The 16,132-nt window shown below is 42.2% G+C and overlaps 2 annotated features.

The window, feature by feature from the left end:
* Positions 3,941-4,129: a silencer, noted in NCBI's record as "fragment chr15:45084988-45085176 (GRCh37/hg19 assembly coordinates)". NCBI's record gives its function as "represses an EF-1alpha promoter that drives an FKBP-Casp9 reporter gene in an ReSE screen in HepG2 liver carcinoma cells {active_cell/tissue: HepG2}" and the evidence as "EXISTENCE:reporter gene assay evidence [ECO:0000049][PMID:32094911]".
* Positions 15,514-15,808: a silencer, noted in NCBI's record as "tiled region #4328; HepG2 Repressive non-DNase unmatched - State 24:Quies". NCBI's record gives its function as "represses a minimal TATA promoter and a strong SV40 promoter by Sharpr-MPRA in HepG2 cells {active_cell/tissue: HepG2}" and the evidence as "EXISTENCE:reporter gene assay evidence [ECO:0000049][PMID:27701403]".

Below are 16,132 nucleotides of genomic sequence, written 5' to 3'. Positions count from 1 at the left end.
CATTTAGCATTTAATTTGGTCCCATATTAGTTAAGCCTCAGGCTTGACTAGCACCCAGGTAAATGAAAAAAGGAACAAAAACTTGATCCAGAACGCACTGGATATCAATGGCTTGTAGTCCTCTCATGGACTTCAAGTGTGACTAAGTCAGCTGAGCCCTTACTTGTTAGTGTTGTGCTGGAACAGACAGAGAGAAAGTAATTGTAAATCATCCAAGAAGTGAGAAAGAGATAGAGATACAATCAGGAGACAAGTCTGAATCTCTGAGATAGACTGGTAATGTCTCAAGGCCACTGAGATAATGATGCCTAGAACTGGGCTTATAAATGCCAATAGCATAACATTCTTGAGCTTGGGACAGTGGTGCTTTAGCAAACAATAACCTCTCCTACTTAGTCCAGATATTTAAATTCCTCATGTGGCATCACTTGATGGATAAAATTGCAAATAAGCAAGTTAAGGATAAATTGAGAGGCCCATTGGATCCTGGCCATGGGTACAGATGTATGATCATGGCCAGGATCTAGGGTTTTGCTCAAATCTGACATCTGTATATCTAAATCTGTTGGTCCATCTACACATCCATCCATCCACCCACCCACCCACCCACCCATCCATCCATCTAACAGAATTATATCTACTGATTTCCGAATTAAACCTAGTTAATAGAAATGAAAACTAAATTTAATTTCTTTTTTTTTTTTTTTTTTTTTTTTGGTGAGGAGTTTGGCTTTTGTCACCCAGGCTGGAGTGCAATAGCGTGATCTCGGCTCACTGCAACCTCCATCTCCCAGGTTCAAGCGATTCTTCTGCCTCAGCCTCCCGAGTAGCTGGGATTACAGGTATGTGCCACCACGCCCAGCTAATTTTGTATTTTTAGTAGAGACAGGGTTTTGACAGGGTTTGGCCAGGCTGGTCTCGAACTCCTGACCTCAGGTGATCTGCCTGCCTTGGCCTCCCAAAGTGCTGGGATTACAGGTGTGAGCCACCGGGCCTGGCCAATTTCTTTATAATAATAAAAGGAATGCTCTAGAAATGACATAAAACATAAATAAACTATGCATTCATTATAACTACAATGAACATTTTATTAAAGCATTCTATGTGCCAGTTGCTTTAGTAAGAGCTAGGGAAGGTATAAAGATGATTAAGACTTGGTCCTCACTTTTTAGAACTTGAGGTCTAGTAGCAAGTATTTATGTACACCTCTCTGACCTCGTGTCCTATACTCATCCCTTCACTCATTCCAGTCTAGAGACATTGTTTTCCTTCCTTTTCCTAGGACATACCAAGCATTTCTTGCCTCAGAGCCATTGTACATGCATTTTCTCTGCCCAGAACTTTATTTCCGCAGGTATGTGCAGTTAACTTCCACACTTCCTTCAGCTCTCTGCTCAAATGTCACAAGCTCAGTGAGGTCTTCTTTGAGTATTCTATGTGTGATAGCAAACTCCTCTCATCACTGGAACTCTGTATCTCCACAATTTTCAATTATTTTTCTCCCTAATCACCATTATATATCATATATTCAGTATGTGTATTTTTATGTATCTATACTGTAATATATGTCATATATATTTACTTCTTTTTTTGTTTATTATTTGTCTCACCCAAAACCCCAACTAGAATATATATTCCATGAAAGGAGGGGACTGTTTTACTCAGTACTCTATTCCTGTGTCCACAAAAAAGCTCGGTGAACAGTAGGTTCTCCAGAAATATTGTTAAATGGATAATACAAGAAAGAAAAATAATACTACTAATAACATAAATGACTGCAGTGGGGAAAGAATATTTAATTTGGTTAGGGGACATGGCTTAGGAATCCTTGAATAAAAAGTTATTCCTTTACTTTGAAAAATAAAGTCCACATGTATAGGACAGTTACATGGCTAACTTCCAAGGGAGATTTATCCAGCATTTCAGGAGTCAAGATGCCAGTTAGATGTGATGAATGACCATACGATGCCTGGAAGTTTTTCCATTACCCTTTGAAATTTTTCTGTCTTTTTTTTGGTTGTCTGGGACCATATGGAAACAAATGGGTTTGGCCTCATTTCCAGAACTACTTGGGAAGATCTGTTCCTGCTAACCATGAACTAAATCTTCACAGTGGCCTGTCTGTGCTTGATTCTGTGTTTCTTTTTTTTTGTTTGTTTCTTTTTTTTTGTGACAGAGTCTCACTCTGTTGCCCAGGCTGGAGTGCAGTGGTGTGATCTCGGCTCACTGCAAGCTCCGCCTCCTGGGTTCACGCCATTCTCCTGCCTCAGCCTTCCCAGTAGCTGGGACTACAGGTGCCTACCACGCCTGGCTAACTTTTTTGTATTGTTAGTAGAGACAGGGTTTCACCGTGTTAGCCAGGATGGTCTCGATCTCCTGACCTCGTGATTCGCCCACCTCGGCCTCCCAAAGTGCTAGCACAGTGCCTGGGACATGGTAGGTGTTTGAAACAAGGTTGTTGACAGAATGAATAAATGAATGAGTGACTGAGGATAGTTGAAGTAGTATCATTTCCTCTATGAAACTTAAAATCCTTCTTCCAACAGAGCCAGAATTCCCTCCTTTGTGCTCCCATTACACCAACCACATTTTATGGTCATTGGCAGATGACAAATAAACCCCTATTGCACTGAGTGAACTTTTAAAAATAGAAAGTGAGTTCTAGTAATCTTAGAATTCCCAGCTTCAACCGTGGTGCCTGGTTATGTAGGAGCTGCTTGATAATTGGCTATGGAATAAATATAACATAATAGTCTTTTGCCTTTTAATGACTCTGACACAAACACTTGATTTTTGATTACAAACTTGATAGATTTATTTATGTTTTCTAATTATGAAGCAATATTATACTAAGTATAGTCATAAGAAATAAGGAAAATTTAAAAAGATCATTCATAAATTTGTGTTTTAGTGTACTTGTCCTTTTAAAGGGATTAAATTTTAATACACATAAATATATTCATATATCTAAAATGAACATTTTCCCATATCAATACTCTTCAAACCTTGTTTTTCAATGCCTATGATATATATTTTTTTGTTGTTGTTGTTGTTGTTTTTTGAGACAGTCTCGCTCTGTCGCCCAGGCTAGAGCACGGTGGCACCATCTCAGCTCACTGCAAGCTCTGCCTCCCCAATTCACGCCATTCTCCTGCCTCAGCCTCCCAAGTAGCTGGGACTACAGGCGCCCGCCACCACGCCTGGCTAATTTTTTTGTATTTTTAGTAGAGATGGGGTTTCACCGTGTTAGCCAGGATGGTCTCGATCTCCTGACCTCATGATCCGCCTGCCTCGGCCTCCCAAAGTGCTGGGATTACAGGCATGAGCCACCGTGCCCAGCCAATGCCTATGAAATATTTTATGCCTACAAAATATTTCATCATATATATTAAAATCTTAGGCATATTGGCTATTTCCAAATATTACAAATATTTCCTTATGAGAATTTTCTTACACATGAAGCTTCGTACTTTCCTCTAGGTACATTTCCCAAAGTGAAATTATATGATTAAAAGGCATGGACACCAGGGCTCTTGATTATTATTGCCAGTACCTCTACAGAGAGTAGATCAATTCACTTGACACCAGTGGTGTTTGGTCATGCCCATTTCCCCACATTCTCACCATTAGATGGAACTATAATTTAGAAGATGTCAATTTGATCAGTGACTCCAGTTACTCAGAACAGGGCAAGAACCCTGGCTTGCCCTGGAAGCAGCATCACTTGCTGACAGCATGAGGGCTGTAGCAGGGGCAGAGATGGAAACAACACATTTCATGTTCTCAAGTAGCTTACAGTCCTGGGTTTAGCAACATTTTATAAACACTTCATTTTAAAGCAAAGAAGAATAAAAAAAATCCTCAATACTAGAGAGTCAGCAGGAAGATAGGCACAGTCTGCTTGTCTATAGGGGGCCTTGGACATGGGTCATTTCTCACGGTGCTGTTGAAAGTAGATAAGACAGGCCTTTATGGATACTTCAGCCTGGTGTGATGTTAGAGGTGGGAGGCAGTTGCCCTGTTCATTGATAACTGGGGCATCTTTGGAAGTTCATCAGATGTCAAGAGTGACAGATGAGGACTTGGATAAGTGGGAGGCTACTTGACTCTGCAGAGCCTTTGACTGTGGGGTTCCTGACAGTGCTTAGGGGTGATGGGCAGCTTAGGCATCCTGGCCAGATACAATGAAGCCCAGAGCCTGGGCCACCTCAGGGGTGACTCAAGGAGCTCCAGTGGGAAGTGAATAGGAAACATAAGGCTAAGACTTAAAGTGGAAGCAGGGCTGGGCAGGAATTTCTTAGGAGGGGGATGGTCATTTTTACAACATTAGGGGTAGAAGCCATCCCTGTGAGAAGAGACTAAAGATAAAGAGACTAATAGATTAACATTAGTCCTAGTGAGGAGTAGACTCCTAGACTTACATCTTCTCTCTCTCCCTATTTCAGATTCATCCCATCTTTACTCCAATCTCCAAAAACTTAATTTATTAGGTAGAACAATTGAGTTATCTTAATTTCCTTGTCTTCTTATGCACCAAACTTTTGGGGTTTTAATTTCTCCAGTCAACGCAGTCTAGCAAAGTATTTTCCTTAAGCAAAAATTATTTTTTCATAAGATATTTGGTTCCAGCCATTAAAATGAGTTTGTAAAATCATAAATAATAGAGATCATGGCCTATATCATATTCTCAATAGACAGTAGATTTCCTCAGGCCCCTTGGCCCCAGATTTGTGTTGACCCCTTTCTTTCCTCCTTGTTGAGGGCAGAACGTTCCTTTGAACTATGTGCTAGCTTAGGCCAGGTGGTTCTTAAAGATCCTTTATTTGGGCACCAACTCTTCCCAAGATATGAGAGGTCTGGTCCAGCTTTTGGGAGGGAGGTTGCTCCTGAGAGAAATGTCTAGGCCCAGCCACTCTCCCTGTACAGAGTGGGAGTTAAGAGCACCTCTCAGCCAGGTGCAGTGGCTCATGCCTGTAATCCCAGCAATTTGGGAGGCTGAGGTGGGCGGATCACCTGAGGTCGGGAGTTCGAAACCAGCCTAACCAACATGAAGAAACCCCATCTCTACTAAAAAAAATACAAAAATTAGCCAGATGTGGTGGCATATGTGTGTAATCTTAGCTATTCCAGAGGCTGAGGCAGGAGAATTGCTTGAACCCAGGAGGCAGAGGTTGTGGTGAGCAGAGATGGTGCCATTGCACTCCAGCCTGGGCAACAAGAGTGAAACTCCATCTCAAAAAAAAAAAAAAAAAAAACACCTCTTGGTACAAAAACTCAGCCACTAGAGTACATGACACCAGTGCCTCTCAGTGGGGCAAGAAACTGCTGAGTGCCTAGAATGGATGTGACCAACACTTCCCACCTTGTCCCCTTGTCCCTTGTTTAGTTACTTCCTGTCTTGCAAGTAAGACAGGGGTGAGGGAGACTCTCCTGGTCTAATAAGGAGCTGCTGGAGAAGAAACTGAGGGATTAGTGGGCCATAGCCCACTAGAGAGTATTAGTGATTCATATTCCCTTTTCTTCCTGGGTCCTGGGTGGATTTCCCTGCACGCGTGAGAGTCTCAGTCTATTGCTATACAACACGATTCTGAGCTGCAAGTGAGAGAAAGCTGAAAGATGTGTCTTGACTGCAATGTGTGAAAGGCTGGAATGATTCCCGCCACCCCACGTTCTAAACATATATAACATATATATGTGTGTGTGTGTCCTGGTCTTGAGTTCTACTCCTGAGGAAGCTGATCTAAATCATCCCATTCTCATTTGCATTTCATAAAAACCTTGTGAAGTAAAGTAATACATATAGTCTTTCCAGCAGAGTAGTAAGACTTCTTATTTGAGAGCTCAGAGATTATAAGAGTGCAAAATCAGAAATTGTTATGCAGCAATAGATAGCTGATATACATGCCCCAGTACTATTTTCTAGGGCTTCTTAAAACCTAGGCTTAGAAGAGACTCTGCCATTGCAGTTTTACTAACGCAAGTCATAAATTAGTTGAGATTCAAAGGGAGGGAACTCTGTAAGCTGTGAATAATAGAGGTGTGATTTTTCAAAATCCACTGATGTAATAACCACTACAGCAGGGTTTATAGACATGGGACACACAGAATAGCAGAGTCTACTGGGGATTGGGAAGTGCCTAGGGTTATCAAGATAAAATATGGGATACCAATGTAAATTTGAATTTCAGATGAATAATGAATAATTTTTAGTACAAATATGTCTCACGCAAGTCTGCATAGCGTGTAATATTTGGGACCTAGTTATACTTAAACATGGTTATTTATCTGAAATTCAAATTTAATTGGGAGTTCTATATTTTTCTTTACTATATCTGACAAACCTAGGTGAGAGACGTGAATGGCACCAGGGGCCAGGTCCTACAAGCTGTTTATTAATCTAGTTACAAGGTTGTTTAGGTCAGGTGAGAACCAGGGCATGAGAATGGAGAGGGAGAGGGCAGACGTTCAAAGCTAGTGAGAACAAGTGGGCTGAGCAGGAGGCCTGAGCATCCAGGCAGTGTTCCAAAGTGGCTGAGATTGTGACATGGGACTCAGACCAGAGAAGGATTCTCAACTCTGTACAACTGTCCTGTCAATCAGTTTTTTTTTCAGGCTTTCAAATAAGGTGGATAATAGTGGTACTTCATAGCATTGTGGCAAGAATTAAGTATGGGGTGGCTGGTATGTAGTAAGCACAGAGAACAGGTTAGGTGTAATCACATCAAAGTAACAATTATAGTAATGGTAATAGTGTTGTGAGGATTGTAGCTGGGGCAGGAGGAGTGGAGAAGAGACACATAGGAAACTAACATCCCCAGAACACATGCTCGGTCCTGGTCCTGGTGCTTTCTATTCTCCATTTTCCTTAATCATAACTGCCTTTGCAGGTATAATAAATTAACTTTAGAGATGAATGAATTGGCTTAGAGGAATTAATAAGTTTGTCTGAGTGGCAGTAGGGTCTGCCTGAGACCAGAATCTTTTCCTATAGAGAAAGACAAGTGAATATAGTTCCTGCAGGTGGACCTCAATTCATGAGCCTCCAGGTCATATCCTGCTGCCAGCCTTTTCCTACCTTGGCCTCTGTGCTGCCTTAACTCTGAGCCTTCCCTTCTCAATTATGAAACGGGAGAATAATGCCCACATTGCTTCTCCCAGAGACTTGTTGGAAGTATTCACTGTGGTAAAGGGCATGAAGGCATTTTCAAACTCTAACATGCACCGTGGGTGTTGAAACTCTTCTTGAAGCCTAGCACATAAAGTGTTAATCCTGTATTCTGCTAATTCCAGGCCATGCTAGGATAAGAAAGGCAGCCCTCCCGAAGGCACTGAAGAAGGGGCTTGGTGGGGTAGGAAGAGAGAGAGAGGTGAGTTTGTGTAGTCTGGTGTGGTGTGGTGTGCTATGCTGTCTTTTTCCCCTCTAGAATACTCCACGACAAGATTCCGGAGGTAAAGCTTCCCCCAAAAGACTTACAACAGAATTTAAGGACAAAACAGTGGAGTAGGACAAGGCTCATTGCTTTTTGGTAGCCTTGCAAATAGTCCCTTGCCTGGGGTGTAGGAAGGTCTAATCCAGTGATTGATAAAATGCTGATTCCACATCTCTTTTATTGTCTGCTAAAGATTTGGTACATATTTTTAAGTCCACTGTGAACTTTTAGACTTCCCCAGAGACCAGCAGCTTAGAAATATATAGGAAAATATTGTCATTATCTATTTTATGGGTGAACATGAAGTAAACAGTGACTGACAAAGCTTGAGTGAGCTGGGTCGTCCCTCTTGCTGGGGATTTTTCTTTCTCTAATTCACCCTGGGTCTGAATATCTATCCTCCTTGCACATTGGATGTACAGCTGCATTCATTATTCTCACCAGTTCTGGCCAAATTCACCACGTAAGGAAAAAAATGGTCTGCAACCACAGACTCATATCCTGTGCAGTAATTTATGATAATGTGACAAGAGAAGGTTCTAGCTCTGACACATGTTTTCCAAGTGTGCCAGAGGTAATAGCATGATTGCTGGTGGGGTGTGTGTGTGTGTGTGTGTGTGTGTCTGATTGTGATGGGGGTGGCGTGGTGGGTAGGCATGAGTGTAAACGAACGTGTGGCCTTCTGAAAGGCATCTCGTGCACACCACAGTTGACAAGAGAGGCGAGAGTGTTCGCTGCTTGATAATGACATTCAGTGTTATGGGGCTGTTGTTTTTAGTGTTTAAGTTATGAAAATCTCATTTTCTCCCTAGAGGCTTTCGTTCTGCCATTCTTTAGTACATCAGGTGAGAAATCAAGTGTCATCTGTTAAAAATGATAACAGATCCCAAGTTAGCTCATAAAAATTACTGTTCCCCCCAAGTCTCTTTGGTTTGGTAAGAGTGATCTTATAAATTGTGATTTTGATTTGAGATGAGCAAGGAAGGGACAACAAAAGAGAGAGGAGGTTTGAAAGTCTTGAGTTAGAGAAAGAATTGAAAAAAATTAATGGAACTTGATTCTATTCCTTATGGATAATTAAGCATAAATGTCCATGGTAAGTCTATATCTACCTCTATCTATCTTGCATTTAGTGTGTATGTGTTTGTGTGTGTATCAGATGTCTTTTTGATGTATTCTATGAAAACTTTTTTATGATCTTGGTCTAAATTCCCTTCTTTGGGCATCCTCATATGCTCACACATGTTTTGTGGTCATTGAATTACTTGAACAGAGCTAGTAAACTGCAAGTCTTAAAGGTCCAAAGGCTTTTCTACTTTGACTATGTAGGCTCCAGAGACAGATTTTTATTGTTCTATTTATTTTTGATTTGGTCTACTATTGCACAAATCTGGTAGATTATTGAAATCCAAGGGGCCTTAACAAGAAGATTTCTGTCTTTGTAAACTTCACTTCCATGGCTCAAGTACCAGCTATCTGGGTAATAACTTCCAAAAGTAACTTCAGCAGTTAACGTTTCCTGTAAGTGTCCAACTTTTAAGTCCAACTGCCTACTTGCCAGCTCCACTGAGGCGTGTAACATGCATCTCAAACTGAATACATCTCCAATCAAACTCTTAATTCGCTTCATACCTACCTCTGATTTACTTCTGTTGCAGTATTCTGCTTTTCAGTAAATTCTATCAGCTTTTTGGGTCAGCAGTCTTGGGGTCAGCCTTGATTCCTATTTCCCACTCACAGTCCATGTAGCCAATTTATCAACAAATAATGTCAGCTCTACCTACAAAATTTGTTCAGAATCTGACCATGTCTCATCATCTCTACTGCTCCCATCCTGATTCAAGCCACCCCCATCTTTGGTCTTGACTGTGGCAATAGCCTCCTACCTGGTTTTGCCCCTTCCACCACCTATCCTGCAACAGCAATCCACATGACCCTTTAGAAACGTGGACCAGAAGATGTTGCTGTTCTGTTCAAAACTCTCCAGTGGCTTCTTATATTGCACACAGTGAAAGTCTGATCCTTCCATTGGCCATAGGTGCTCTGTGGGCTGCTCCCACCACCCCTGCTCTCGCTGCCAGCACACGACTCTTCATCCACCCTCCCCTCTTCACTCTCCATGAACGTGCATGTTCCCATGCGCTTTTTCTCTGTCTGGAGTGCTTTTCTTCCACATTTGTTGCATACTTTCCCCTCATTTCTTTCTGTCTCTACTCAAGGTCACCTCCTCAGAAAGATTATCTTTCAGCATTTAAAACAGTATTCTCATTCCCTATATTCCTAATTCTGTCTTCCTTAATCTACTTTATTCTTCCTTAACCTACCTTATGGTCAGATGCCGATAACTATTTGTCTGTTTCTTCTCACTCCAATGTAAGCCTTCTAAAGCAGGATTTTTTTTTTCTTTTATTGCTGTGTTTCCTGTGGCTAGGACAATATCTGGCATGTAGAAGTTGCTCAATACTTATTTGTTAAAGAAATGAATGAATGTGTGCTCTACTGATACTTTTACAATGTTCTCATAAGTTCTTTCTAACATTAATGCAGTTTTTGTTTGGTTGGTTTTGTTTTGTTTTTTTGAGACAGAGTCTCGCTCTGTCACCCAGGCTGGAGTGCAGTGGCACCATCTCTGCTCAATGCAAGCTCTACCTCCTGGGTTCACGCCATTCTCCTGCCTCAGCCTCCCGAGTAGCTGGGACTACAGGTGCCCACCACCACACCTGGCTAATTTTTTTTGTATTTTTAGTAGAGGCGGAGTTTCACCATGTTAGCCAGGATGGCTACGATCTTCTGACCTCATGATCTGCCTGCCCTGGCCTCCCAAAGTGCTGGGATTACAGGCATGAGCCACTGCGCCCGGCCTAGTGCAATTATTTTATGTTAATGCTCTCGGATGCGATGCAAGAAAATTTTCCATAACAAGACACTCTGAAAGTGGAGTGTGATTCGTCACTCCTCTCTTCTCACTTACTGAAAGCTCCTTGTTCTGGGGAAGAATCTGGTCAGGGCAGCCTCATAGTAGGCCATCCAGATAGAAATTAAAAGCCAGCAGAAGAGCAAGGGATTACAAATCCAGGAGAATTGTGGAGTACTGACTTCCTTCTCTCTCTTGGTAAATACTCTGAGAGTGACCTCTTCCCAAAGTCATTCTCTAGGAAGGGTAAGGTGTGTTTCTTGAGGCAGGAGAGCCTTGACAGCTCCCTGGTAACATCTGGGCCCACTTTTGCTTTTTATAGCAACTTAGAGGAAAATCTCTTAGTTATAATGCTACTTTGGAAAAACTAGAAATAAGAATTCAAAACCAAACTATTTTACAACTTTAGTCTCCTGACTCGTCTATTTTGCTTGGTTCTTCACTCTTTCCCCAGTTCCCCTGTGAAAGCTTGGTTCAGTCAGATTATTTTGCTTCAATGTTGTGAAATAGTTCTCTGCTTTCTCATGAGCTTTAAATAAGCTTCTCTCAGGGGATGAATAGGTGAGCGGTGGGTTTCTTAAAAATGAAATAACAGAAAAAGGTCGTAAAAAATAAGATGTTTGTAAAACCTGTGTAGGATGCTGTGTTTTAAACAAAGTCAGGGATGACTTTCCCTTCATTTCATTTTGTCTCTGAGGGGATTGAAGGGAAGTAATCCTCAGTCATGGTCACCACAGTCTGGCAGATGAAACCCTGTTTCCTGATGTCCCTAGGGGCAAGGATATGGGGTATCTGTAGCTGTCTGTAGCTGTACATTCCAAGGGCTCTCTAGGCCATGAGTTATGACTGTATAGACTTTGTCCATGCCTGACAGGACCTTCTTGTGTCTGATGGCAATGTAAATGCTTTCAAAAAATTTATTTCTTTTTGGATTTTCTTTTTCATTGTTGTCTGCAAAACGAATTCAGTTAGTCATGACGCTCTCTTATTTTGGTGTGTTTCCCTTTCTGGTGCCTTCCAACTGCATGGTGTCTCTGGGTGGAGGAGGAGGAGAGTCTCAGGCCCATCAGGGAAGAAGAAAGCTTCCCTGGCCCCTTAGTATGTAAGTGGGCTTCTGATCCACCCTATTTGCTGGGCTCAGGTGGTGGTATAGGTAGACTCCTATTCAATGTGGGGGAGACCTTAGCCTACCTGGGCTGCCTTCTGTTGCTAGGCTCAGATCAGAAAATGCTTGACCTGGATCACCTCTTTTGTAGGTTGGAAGGACATAGGATGCCCTGACACTGTGTCGCTTCTCCAGTCCTGCCTGGGGTCTCAAACCGATGCACCCTCGTCTTCTACCTCTCAGAGTTCCCCTTTCATTGTCTCTTGAGTTATTTTTGCAATGTTTGTTGTGGGCGGCAAGCCACCCAGGAGCCAAGGCAAGAGACCGAGGGCACAAGCTGTTCCAGTATAATAAAGAAAATAAATAAAATAAGAATAGTTATACTAGATATAGATCATAGATATGATTATATATGAATATCATTAATCATTAGTTTGTAGCAATTACTCTTTATTCCAATATTATAATAATCTTCACTCTACAATCATAACCTAGGAAAAACCAGGCCATACAGAGATAGGAGCTGAAGGGACACTGTGAGAAGTGACCGGAAGACAAGTGTGAGCCTTCTGTTATGCCCGGACGGGGCCACTAGAGGGCTCTTTGGTCTAGCGGTAACGCCAGCGCCTGGGAAGACGCCGGTTGCCTAGCGGACCTTTGTCTAGCGGTAGCGTCAGTGCCTAGAAAAAGCACCCGTTACTTAGCAGACCGGGAAAGGGAGTCTCCCTTTCCCCGGGGGAGTTAGAGAAGACTCTGCTCCACCACCTCTTGTGGAGTCAGGCCCACCCGCAGTTATCCGGAGGCCTAACCGTCTCCCTGTGATGCTGTGTTTCAGCGGTCACTCTCCTGTTTCACTTTCATGTTCCACTCTGTACACCTGGCTCCGCCCTCTAGATCGCAGTGGCAAAATTAGTGAAAGTATTAGTCTTTGATCTTTCTGAAAAGAGCATAGAAGAAATAATGACGTAAGCTGTTCTCTCTCTCTCTGCCTGGGCTACCTAACAGGGAAGGGCCCCCTGTCCGGTGGACACATGACTCACGTGACCTTATCAATCATTGGAGATGACTCACACTCTTTACCCTGCCCCTTTTGCTTTATATCCAATAAATAACAGCTCAGCCAGGCATTCGGGGTCACTACCAGTCTCTGCGTCTTGGTGGTAGTGGTCCCCCGGGCCCAGCTGTCTTTTCTTCTCTTTGTCTTGTGTCTTTATTTCTATGATCTCTCCTCTCCGCACACAGGGAGAAAGACCCACAGACCGTGTACGGCTAGTCTCTACAGTTTGCTATTGTGCATTGTGGAGAGGACTAGAGAGGGCAAGAGTCTGCCATCTTATCCAGGTCAGAAATGGAGGAGTTAAGTTTTGGAAATAATTTTTAGTGTAATACTTTTATGATCTGAAGGAGAAAGCAAATATTTTGCTTGGTCTGTAAGGCTAATTACTTCTGGATAATGAAGTAATGGTAAGCCTGGTAAATTCCATTGGTATTAGTCATTACCTGCTTTCTTTTACTCTGAGGTGAGTTCCATTGCCAGGCGCAATGTTGTTTGAGATACCCTGATTGGACATCGTGGATTTGCAGGAACAAGCATGATGTCAGGAAAAGAAAACTTCAGCTAGAAACAATTTTTATTCCATTGAGGACTAGTTGCTCTCCTGCACATGATGACAGGAGTAAAATATAATTGACTTGTCAGAAGGTATTCAGTTGGTCCCAGAAGGTATAGTATCATCTCAGGAGCTCAAGGTGGGTGGTGTGTTTCTGTTTTTGACTTTCATATGTTGATTCTTTTCATCCCTCACTATAATTTAAGGTATCTTTCAATATTACATCATTTTTGTACATTATTTTTAATAGTTTTAAAATTATTTGTGAAGTGGCCTAAATGTAATTAGCTTAGTCATTCCTCTATTGTTGCTTCAATATTTTTTTTTTTTTTTTTTGCTAGGATAAACACTTCTGTGATGAAGGTCTTCATACATAAATCTTATGCTATGCTTTAACTCCCTTTGTTAGAGAGTCCGTAAGAACTTTGGAGACAGTCTGCCTACATTCAGATTCTGGTGTGTAGTGTTGTGCAGGCTGTATATCAGCCGAGGCAAATGGTACCTCCTGATACAGTGCAAAGCATAACCTGCACAGCCATACATGGCAGCCCTGAATCTTGGCTCTGCCATATACTTACTGTATGAACTTTTACAAGTCCTTTTACAGTTCTGCTGCCTCAGTTTCTGCATCAATAAAGTAGAGAAAATAATACCTTATAGGCCCAGCATATAGCAATTGGTATGTATGTTGTTGTTATTATTGTCAATGAGTATGACTTTCGTTGCAAACTATCAAGTAATCCTATAAACTCTGGCTGATGTCATGGTTTAGATTTAAGGCTCTTCAAGAACTACAGAACAAAGTAGATATACTCTTGGTGCCATGTTGAGGAGGGTTGAAATACTAAGCCACATTTTTCAGAAAGGAGATGAAGCACACATATGGAAAGTCAGATGGCCCTACAGGGGAATGGAAGCCCCAGAGGACAGGTGTGATTACGGGGTTATGATTTCAAAAGAGGAAAAAACAGTGAAGGAGGCAAGTGGAGAGGAGTTTGCTGGATGAGAAGGCTTCCCTGGGGAGAAGGGTATTGGGGGAGATGATTGCAAGCTCTCTTAGTAGCAGGTGGAGCAGTAGTCTGGTTCCTACCGGAGGCAGATGTTTAGGCACCATCTGTCACAGTTAATTCTGAGTCTGGGTGTTTCGCATACCTTTGGCTTCATGGGATGAGTCACATGCTTGCATCTGTTCTCCCTCTCTGAACATTTTCCTCCTGAATGATGATCACCCTATTAACCAACACCAAAAATTTTCAAAGGAATGCTTTCAGAAAGATGCAAAACGCAGAGAATGTGTGGCCAAACTCATCTGGTTTCAGAAGATCTCTTGTCCTCAGATATGTCTACTCTCATTAAAACAAAGTATGAAGATTTCCATGGCTGGGGACACAGGCAGTGTCTTTGATGAGGTCCTCTCAAGATAGCTTAAGCGTGGACTAAACTTCATAGGGTCCACATGAAAAATTGGCTTCATTGATCCACTAAATTCTCAAGGTACAGTCCATTTCTATTCTGCCCTCAGGTGGTGCTCCAGCTAGCCCTTCACGTTCATGTCTCCCCAGATTCTAGGGAAACCATGTCCATTTCTCCCAACAGCTCTCTCACATTCCAGCCTCATCACAAGATTCTCTGGCTGTGCAAACCTTCAGCCAGGGAGGAAGTTTCAACTTGTTCCTCCTATCTGACAATGCCAATCCCCAAAAATTAGTTTTTGGGAACTCCGTCTGTTGTTTTGGGGTAGGTGAGGGGCAAGAATCTTCTCTAATGATTCCCCCTTTAATTAACACAAATCTTCTTTCACGTAAGCTGGATGTTAAAGATGGGCTGAATGAGTTTGGTGGCTTAGTGAGCCAAGTCAGCATAGGCTAAATGCTATAACAAACACCTCAGTGGCTTTAAATGGTCATGTCATTGACGAAAGTGGTCAATATGTTGGTGGTTGTAGAGGAGCTCTGCTCTGTGTAGTTGCTCAGTATCTAGACTTCTTTCACTAGTGTATTTGCTGTATTCTATGTGAATGGTCTTATTTTGTGCCATGGCTTCCTTTGGTAGTCTGTTAAAACCAATAGAGTGTGGTTAAAAATGATATTGTGTTGGTTCTGAGCCTGGGACTCAGGAAACTTTGCACATTTCTGCTCTTTTTCTTCAAATCCTGCCACTTCCAAATGAACAAGCCTGGATTTGTCTGCTGGAAAATGAGAGACACGTGGCCAGCTGTGCAGTCACCCCAGCCTATAGCTAGCCAAACTCCAGAAGGAGAGAAGGTCGCTGACCTGCCTCTGACTGTGGACACAAAAGGGAGCCATGACAAGACTAGACGAATCACCCAACAAGCTTGGCCTAAGTTGCTGACCTGCTGAATTATGATATAAATAAATGGTTGTTATTTTAAGCCACTACGTTTGGGGTGGTTTGTTTCATAGAAATAATTCACTGATACAAGGAAGATAACTTTCCTTTTAATTGACATGGCTGGTTGGTGAGATAGTTCCTTTCACTTACGTTGCATTGCTGAAAGCTAGTTATCAGGCCTCCCTTACATGGAAGAGGAGACTATAAAATGTAGTCCAGCAGTGTAACCAGAAGAGGCAGAGGACATGGATATCGGTGGATCCCCGTCATAAGCACTTACTCATTTTTCTGGGGCAATGGACACACTTTCTGTTGACTTCTTACAAATCTTGGAGTCTCAGCTGAAGCTTCTGTACAAAGTCAGAATTATTATGTAAAATCTTGTTGTGCCTTGTGATAGAGAAGATCACTATCTTATGTTCTGATGACTCTCCAAAGAGGGTAGGATTCTGTTTAAGTAGTCTCAGGGCCTGGTTATCTTTATTTCAAGGAGAGAAAGGAGGAAGCTTAGTGTAGGCCGACAGGTCTGAGCCATAACCTTCAACTGCATTTTTCAAGCCCCTCTAGTTTCTTGTGTATATTTCCTGTGGTGAGGAACCCCACTGGGAAGAGAGGTCATGGCAGGATTTATGCATTCTTGTGTTGTTGTGTTGTGATTTCTGTCATCACAGCAGAATCAATATCTTTGTTTATTGTTCTTAGGAGTCAGTATCCAGTCTAT

The sequence above is a fragment of the Homo sapiens genome, chromosome 15, assembly GCF_000001405.40.
Source record: "Homo sapiens chromosome 15, GRCh38.p14 Primary Assembly".
Taxonomy (NCBI): Eukaryota; Metazoa; Chordata; class Mammalia; order Primates; family Hominidae; genus Homo; species Homo sapiens.
This window is presented reverse-complemented; position numbering and strand designations above follow the sequence as displayed.